Raw genomic sequence first — 9290 nt, 5'->3', positions numbered from 1 at the left:
CGCTGCAGGGGGCGGCCCCCAAACAGCGGGCTGCGGGCGTCGGCGGGTGGTTGGAGCAAGTTAGGGGTCGGGCCGGTGGCGGGACTCTGCGGGGAAGATGGGGCTGGGAGGATGTGTTTAGTGTCCCTGGGGATGTCACAGCCACGTCTGCTTTCCCCACCAGCTCTGGGTTCCTCTGCTGAAGTCAGAACTCCTGCTCTTGAGAATCCCCGATTCCTATTTTATAGGAGTTTCAATTTCGGGGAGCTTAATGTGCATGTTGTATTCAGTGCTTTGTACACGTGGTATCGTTAAGTCTTCACAAAGAGCCCCATTTTACAGATGACTCATAGAGAAGTGAAGTCATTTGTGCAAGGCTACAGAGCTATAAATGGCAAAGCAAAAATGAAAGGCAGTTTTAAAAATTAACAACCAGGCCGGGCGCGGTGGCTCACGCCTGTAATCTCAGCGCTATGGGAGGCCAAGGCGGGCGGATCACGAGGCCAGGAGTTCGTGACCAGCCTGGCCAGCATGGTGAAACCCCCGTCTCTACTATTTAAAAAAAAAAAAAAAAATTAGCCGGGCGTGGTGGTGTGCGCCTGTAATCTATCCCAGCTACTCGGGAGGCTGAGGCAGGAGAATCGCTTGAACCTGGGAGGTGGAGGTTGCAGTGAGCCAAGATCACGCCACAGCACTCCAGCCTGGACGACAGGGCAAGACTCCGTCTCAAAATAAATAAATAAATAAATAACCATCGCCACGATTAACAAAAACAACAACAACAAAAAAAAAAACAACAAAAAACAAACAAACAAAAAACCCACTGCCTTTCTATTTAAAGAATGAGGAAAGTAGGTCCCGCAGAGGTTCAGTGACTTCTTCAAGATCTCTAAGCTTGTAAGAGGCAAAATTCTGGGTCTTTTTACTTGGCCTCTCCTGAGTGGTATGGGGTCTAGAGGGAGGAGAGAAGAAGAGGAAATAAGAGGGACTCTAGTGCCCAAACTCCAGAGAACTGCCCCTCAGGGTCCTTGGGGAATTGTTCCATTGTCAGAGGGAAGTGGGTTACCTGGTCTCCTGGCTACCTAGCAGGGACACTCGGAGCATATCAAAAATGCTTGTTGGAAGAGAGAGCCCCAGCTTCATTCTGAGTATAAGTGTTTCTGCTATAACCTGCTATATGCATTCTTAAAAAACCTTCAGTTCTTCAAAACGGTGCACTAAAATTAACAAGACTTCATGGAAAAAATAGAGTTAGAGACAGATTGCTCAAAATATATGCAACTAGCTGGGCACGGTGGCTCATGCCTGTAATCCCAGCACTTTCAGAGGCCGAGGAGGGAGAATTACTGGAGTCCAGGAGTTTCAGACTAGCCTGGGCAACATAGGGAGACTCCGTCTCTACAAAAAAATAAAAAATTAGGCGGGTGTGGTGGTGTGCACCTGTGTTCCCAGCTACTCGGGAGACTGAGGTATAGGGGTATTACCTGAGCCCAGGAGGTCGAGGCTACTGTGAGCTGTGATTGTGGCACTGACTGCACTCCAGCCTGAGAGACAGAGCGAGACCCTGACTCAAAAAAAAAAAAGTAAAAATAAAAACCTGTATACAACTTTTTTTTTTTTTGAGATGGAGTCTCACTCTGTTGCCAGGCTGGAGTGCAGTGGCACGGTCTTGGCATACCACAACCTCCGACTCCCTGGTTCAAGTGATTCTCCTGCTTCAGCCTTCCGAGTAGTTGGAATTACAGGTGGGCGCCACCATGCCCAGCTAATTTTTGTATTTTTAGTAGAGACAGGGTTTCACCATGTTGGCCAGGATAGTCTCGATCTCCTGACCTCGTGATCCGCCCGCCTTGGCCTCTCAAAGTGCTGGGATTACAGGTGTGAGGCACCATGCCCGGCCTCTTGTATACAACTTTATATTCAGAGTGCTACAAAACCAATAATGATGCTAATAGAAACACTAGAATAGGTAAATTTCCATGAGCATTTGCTTTCAGCAGCACTTTGCAGCCTTGAAGGTGGGGCTTATGCTTCCTCTTTGGGGATGCTGGTTGGAGATATTAACTATTGATGGGGATCATTTTCATCAAAACTCGAAATGTGATCCAAGGTGTGATCTTTTTCATTAATCTGTTATTTTAATATGGGAGAAATATATTTGCAATTTCTTCATCTGCATTCATGGATTTGCCATAGGCATAACACTGTGACAAATATGGTGGTCTTTGAAGTCACTAAACCAGCCACCGTGGATCCAAAGGAAGACACTTCTGTAGATTTGCAGCTTTTTCCTCTGAAGATCTTCTTTTAGTACTAAGGCTTCCCCTTTAACTGTGAGAAAGCTTGGCCCTGATTGCTTCAAAATGTTAACTTCCTGGAGAAAATTGCATGTTAACCAACATGCTTGTGTTATGCTGACATCATTACTCTGTTTACCAATCATTTATGGGGTGATTCATCTCAAAGAAGCAAATAGAGGGTGGGGGCGGTGGCTCACACACCTGTAATCGCAGCACTTTGGGAGGCTGAGGCAGGCAAATCACCTGAGGTCAGGAGTTTGAGACCAGCCTGGACAACATGGTGAAACCTCATCTCTACTAAAAATACAAAAATTAGCCAGGCGTGGTGGCAGGTGCCTGTAATCTCAGCTACTCAGGAGGCTGAGGCAGGAGAATCGCTTGAACCTGGGAGGCGGAGGTTGCAGTGAGCCGAGATCGAGCCAGTGTACTCTAGCCCGGACGACAGAGGGAGACTCTGGAAGAAGCAAATGGGCTGCAGAACAGGTTGTCTCTGGGCCCGGTGCGGTGGCTCACGCCTGTAATCCCAGCACTTTGGGAGGCCAAGGCGGGTGGATCACAAGGTCAGGAGTTCAAGACCAGCCTGGCCAACATGGTGAAACCCTGTCTCTACTAAAAATACAAATTTAGTCAGGGCATGGTGGCAGTCACCTGTAATCCCAGCTGCTCGGGAGGCTGAGGCAGGGGAATCGCTTGAACCGGGTGGCAGAGGTTGCAGTGAGCCGAGATTGCGCCACTGCACTCCAGCCTGGTGACAGAGTGAGACTCCATCTCAAAAAAAAAAAGAAAAAAAATTATCTTGGATTTGGCTGCCTTGTTGAACTCACTCTTGCTTGTTCTAGAATAGCTTGACAGATAATTCTCTTCGATTTTCTAGCTAGATGATCCTGTTGTCCAGAAAAAAGAAAAAAATTACAGCTTTAAAAAATCTGATGTCTATGCTTTTTTTCTTAATCCTCTCCTCTTTGGCTAGGAGTTCCAATACAATGTTGAATGGCAGTGGTATTAATGGACAATTCTTGTCTTGTCCTAGACATTTAAGGGAATGATCCTAAGGTTTCATCATTAAATATGATGCTTTCAGTAGATTTCTAGTAGAAGTCCTTTATCAGGTTCTATTCCTAACTTGCTAGAGATTTTTCTTTCTTTCTTTCTTTCTTTCTTTTTTAAATGCAGGTGTTACATTTTATCAAATGCTTTTTATGCATTTATTTATGCAATCAGATGGTTTTTCTGCCTTTAATCCATTAATGTTGATTATCTCCTCTTTCTTGCTTTCACCATTGCTGGATTTGATTTAATAATACTTTATTTAGGGTTGTTTTGCATTTCTTTTCTTTTCTTTTCTTTTTTTTTTTTTTTTGAGACAGCCTTGCTGTGTCATCCAGGCTATAGTGCAGTGGTGATATCTCAGCTCACCCACCTCCTGGGTTCAAGCGATTCTCCCACCTCAGCCTCCAGAGCTGAGACTATAGGCGCATGCCACTGTGCCCAGCTAATTGTTACATTTTTAGTAGACATGGGGTTTTGCCATGTTGGCCGGAGTGGTCTCCAAATCCTGGCCTCAAGGAATCCACCTGCCTTGGCCTCCCAAGGTGCTGGGATTACAGGCATGAGCCACTGTGCCTGGCCTGCATTTGTTTTCATAAATGGAATTTTCTGGTGTTATTCTTGCCTAGTTTTGACATTGGCGGAATGCTAGCCCTATTCAATGAGTTGGGGAGCTTTTTTTTTTTTTTGTGGTGAGAACACTTAAGACCTACCCTTATAACAAATTTCAAGTATACAATAAAATCTTATTAACGATAGTCGTGTCATTGTACATTAGATCTCTAGAACTTATTCATCTTGCATAACTGATATTTTGTATCCCTTGACTAATATCAAGTCAACTTTTTATTTTTTAATCTTTTTTTAAGATGGAGTCTCGCTCTGTCGCCCAGGCTGGAGTGCAGTGGCACAATCTTGGCTCACTGCAACCTCCACCTCCTGGGTTCAAGTGATTCTCCTGCCTCAGCCTCCCTAGTAGCTGGGATTACAGGCATAAGCTACTATGCCCACCCAGCTAATTTTTGTATTTTCAGTATAGACTGAGTTTCGCCATGATGACCAGGCTGGTGCTGAAATTACAGGCATGCGCCATTTCTGACCTCAAGTAATCCGCCCTCCTTGGCCTCCCAAAGTGCTAGGATTACAGGCATGAGCCACCTCGCCCAGCTGTGTTAATTTTTTCAATGATGTTCTGATGTCCTTGTTTGGAAGAAATCTTTAAATTTCATGTAGTCAAACCCGTCACATTTTCACCATATGTGCTTTCTGGGTTGAAGAATCTTTGCTCACTCCAAAGCCATAACAATATTCTACATTTTTCTAGCAGCTGTTATGGGTTGAATTGTGTTCTTCCAAAAGGATATGTTGAATTCCTACTCCCAGTACCTCAGAATGTGACTGTATTTAAAACAAGGTCGTTGCAGATGTAATTAGTTAAGATGAGGTCATACTAGAGTAGGGTGGGCTGCTAATGCCGTATCACTGTTGTCCTTATAAGAAGACAGCCTGGTTGGGCGCCGTGGCTCACACCTATAATCCCAGCACTCTGGGAGGCCAAGGTGGGAGAATCACTTGAGCCCAGGAGTTCAAGATCGGCCTGGGCAACACAGTGAGACCCCGTCTCTATAAATAAATAAATAAAAAGAAGATAGCCATGTGAGGACACACACACACACACACACACACACACACACACACACACACACACACACGGAATGCCATATGACAACAAAGGCAGAGATTAGAGTTATGCAGCTACAAGCGAAGCAACTCCAAAGGCTGCCAATAAATCATCAGAAGCTAAGACCAGGTGAGGAAGGATTCCCCTGCAGGGTTCAGAGCGGGCATGGCCTTGCTGACACCTTGAGTTTGGACTGCTGGCTTCCAGGAATGGGGAGACAATAGATTTCTGTTGGGTTAAGCCACCCAGTTTGTGGTACTTTATGGCAGCCCTAGGAAATTAACATACAGTCCTAGCCTTCTGGTTTTACCTTCCTTATTTAGGTTTCTAGCCCATTTATTTGACCTTTGTATTATGGAGAGAGGTGGGGAACTAACTTTACTTTTCTCCTTACAAGTGCCAGGTTCCCTAATACTATCTCTAACAATCTCTCTCTTTTCTTCTTCTTTTTTTTTTTTGACTTTGAGACAGGGTCTCAATCTGTTGCCCAGGCTGGAGTGCAGTGGTGCGATCTCGGCTCACTGCAACCTCTGCCTCCTAGGCTCAAGCGATCCTCCCACCTCAGCCTCTCCAGTAGCTGAGACCACAGGTACACGCCACCACGCCTGGCTAATTTTTTAAATTTTTAGTAGAGACGAGGTCTTGCTATGTTGCCCAGGCTGGCCTCGAACTCCTGGGCTCAAGTCATCCTCCTGCCTGAGGCTCTCAAAGTGCTGGGATTACAGGTGTGAACCACTGTGCCTGGCCACACCCTGTATAATTTCTTCCAATATGTGCCTAGTTTCTTTTCTTTTTAGCTGTGCTGTAATCGATTTCATTTGTTCACTGGGTTTTAAAGTTTTCACTTATATAATTTTTAGTTTTTCCTCTTCAAATCTTCCTTGACAGTTTTAATAATCAGCTTTTCCTTCAGTATTTTTAAAGCTCTGCCATTAATTTCTTTAAAGATTTACTGTATTTATTTTATATTCTGTACAGCATACTTCCAGTGGCTGTGCCATTTGTGAGTCTGATTCTGAGGCTTATTGCTTCTGCTTATGTAGTTTATTTCCTGTTAGTGATTTTTTAAAATATCAACTTATGTTCCTTGGGATTTTATATGAGGAATTTTTTTTTTTGAGATGGAGTCTCGCTATCTTGCCCAGGCTAGAGTGCAGTGGCACAATCTCAGCTCACTGCAACCGAGATCTCCCTCCTGGGTTCAAGCGATTCTCCTGCCTCGGCCTCCCAAGTAGCTGGGATTATAGGAGCCTGCCACCACGCCTAGCTAATTTTTGTATTTTTAGTAGAGACAAGGTTTCACCATGTTGGCCAGGCTGATCTGGAACTCCTGATCTTCCCACTTTGGCCTCCCAAAATGTTGGGATTATAGGTGTGAGCCACCGTGGCCAGCCCTAAGGAAATTCTTGAAAGCCCAGGTTTAAATGCATTTTCCTGGCTAGGTGCAGTGGCCCATGCCTGTAATCCCAGCACCTTGGGAAGCTGAGGTAAGAGGATTGCTTGAACCCAGAAGGTCAAGTTTGCAGTGAGCTATGACTGAGCCACTGCACTCCAGCCTGGGCAACAGATCAAGATCCCATCTCTACAGCAACAACAACAAAAGACTTTTTTTTTTGGACTCTTTTCAGTCTTTTATTTACCATACTCTCTTTTTTTCTCCTTTCCTTGCTTCCATGAATACATTGATTATTTTCTACTTCTGATTTGAAAATTATTTAATTTAAAAAAATTTTAAAAAGTTATAGTAGTTATTCCTAACATGCTCAGACTAATTTGTGTTTATTCTACCCCATAAATTCTCCCCTCTGCTTCCTTTTGCCCTGAAACTGCCATATTGATATTTTTTAGACTTTTGATTTTGGATTTGTATAAATATGCCTTTTGGGGGCATTATTTATTTATCATAGAAATGTAGTCACTATTATTTGCTGTGTCTCATAAGTTGTTTCTCTTCTCGCTGTAATACTTCCTCCAGGATTATTTTTGAAGGTTTTTGTGGGGTAAACTTTTTTTTTTTTTTTGAGATAGAGTCTCACTGTGTTGCTCAGGCTGGAGTGTAGTGGTGGGAACTTGGCTCACTGTAACCTCCACCTCCCGTGTACAAGTGATGCTCCTGACTCAGCCTCCCAAGTAGCTGGGACTGCAGGCACCTGCCATCACACCCGGCTAATTTTTTTTTTTTTTTTTTGTATTTTTGGTAGAGACAGGGTTTCACTGTGCTGGCCAGGCTGGTGACGAACTCCTGACCTCATGATCCGCCCACCTTGGCTTTCCAAAGTGCTGGAATTACAGGCATTGAGCCACTACGTCTGGCCCGGGATAAATTTTTGACACTTTTTTATATCTGAAAATATCTTTATGTACCCTCACATTTAAATGACAGTTCTGCTAGACATAAAATTCTCTAAGTTCCAAGTGTTTTCCTTTTATTCTTTGAACAAAATACTACCCCATTGTCTTCTTGCATCTGTTGTTGCTGCTGACAAGTCTGGTGTTGTTTAGTTTCTGAAAGCTGTTAGAATTTTTCTCTTTGACGGTCTTCAGATTAATTGAAAATTATCTACATATTTTGAAACCTATTTGTCTATGAGCCTGGTGTGGGTACCCCACCCCCCAGATTCACATGTTGAAGTGCCAACTCCCAGTGCCTCTGACTGTATTTGGAAATAGGGTTGTTGCAGGTGTAGTTAAGATGAGGTGATACTGGAGTAAGGTGGGTCCCTACTCCAATATGACAGGTGTCCTTATGAAAAGGGGAAATTTGAGGCCGGGGCAGGGGCTCTCACCTACAATCTCAATGCTGTGGGAGGTGGGTGGATTGCTTGAGGCCAGTATTTGGCGATCAACCTGGGCAACATAGTGAGACCTCATCTCTACAAAAAATACATGTTGGCCAGGCTGGTCTTGAACTCCTGACCTCAAGTGATCTCTCCACCTCAGCCTCCCAAAGTTCTGGGATTATAGGCGTGAGCCACTGTGCCCAGCCTGTTTTTCATAATTATTTATGTCATTTTGATTTGTGGCCTGCAAATATCCCTTCCTCAATTAAGCCTCCTCCTGGGCTTTGGCAGGGCTGGAGGTAAATTACTGACAATTCTGGTTAGAAGATAGCATTGCCATTTGCTCTGCTATGTCATCTTCATCCAGCTTAATGTCACTCACAGAGCTGCTTGGCTCTGGGCTGGGGACCAACAGGAAGCTATTCTCTTTAATTTTTTTTTTTTTTTTTTTTGAGACAGAGTCTCTGTCTCTCACCCAGGCTGGAGTGAAATGGCATCATCTTGGCTCACTGCAACCTCTGCCTCCTGGGTTCAAGCAATTCTCCTGCCTCAGCCTCCCAAGAAACTGGGATTACAAGTGCCCGCCACCACGCCTGGCTAATTTTTTTTTTTTTGAGCCAGCCTGACCTCTGTTGCCCAGGCTGGAGTGCAGTGGCACGATCTCGGCTCACAGCAAGCTCCGCCTCCCAGGTTCATGCCAATCTCCTGCCTCAGCCTCCCGAGTAGCTAGGACTACAGGTGCCCGCCACCACGCCTGGCTAATTTTTTATATTTTTAGTAGAGATGGGGTTTCACCCTGTTAGCCAGGATGGTCTCGATCCCCTGACCTTGTGATCTGCCTGCCTAAGCCTCCCAAAGTGCTGGGATTACAGGTGTGAGCCACCTTGCCCGGCCAACCTTAAGATTTTAATTACCATGAAAAACAAGAGATGAGACTCTGAATGAGGCCCTTCCTGACATCTGGTATAGCTCCATGGAACTTCCAGATATTTATAAACAGAAAGAAGGATGAAGTCTTGATATAAGAATTTGCAGCCAGGCACAGTGACTCACGCCTATAAGGCCAGCACTTTGGGAGGCTGAGGCAGGAGGATCGCTTGGGCCCAGGGGTTTGAGACCAGCCTGGGTAACATGGTGAGATTCTGTCCCTACTAAAAATCAGACAAATTATTGGGTGTGGTGGTACATATCTGTGGTCTCAGCTACTCAGGAGGCTGAGATGGGAGGATTGCTTGAGCCCAGGAGGTTGAGGCTGCAGTGAGCCATGTAAGTACCACTACACTCCAGTATGGGCTTCAGAGTGAGGTCCTGTCTCAAAAAAAAAAAAAAAAAAATTTCTGTGCTCCATTCTCAGTGCCTAAATCTTAGATTAACTGGATGTTTCAGTGGGCACTTCCTAGAAGGATTCTTCTCTGTGAAAGGATCTCCTGCTAAACCCTGTTCACTCTTGGGATACTGCAGTGGAATTTGCTGACTCCATACCTAAGGGACAGTGCAGGTAGG

At 44.8% G+C, this 9290-nt stretch overlaps 1 annotated feature.

Annotated features, from left to right (window-relative positions):
* Positions 103–342: an enhancer, noted in NCBI's record as "active region_14641". NCBI's record gives its function as "activates an Ori minimal core promoter by ATAC-STARR-seq in GM12878 lymphoblastoid cells {active_cell/tissue: GM12878}" and the evidence as "EXISTENCE:reporter gene assay evidence [ECO:0000049][PMID:35858748]".

Source organism: Homo sapiens, chromosome 19 (assembly GCF_000001405.40).
Source record: "Homo sapiens chromosome 19, GRCh38.p14 Primary Assembly".
In the NCBI taxonomy this organism is placed as follows: domain Eukaryota; kingdom Metazoa; phylum Chordata; class Mammalia; order Primates; family Hominidae; genus Homo; species Homo sapiens.
The sequence above is the reverse complement of the archived record's forward strand: the minus strand, read 5'-3'. Positions and strand labels throughout refer to the sequence as shown.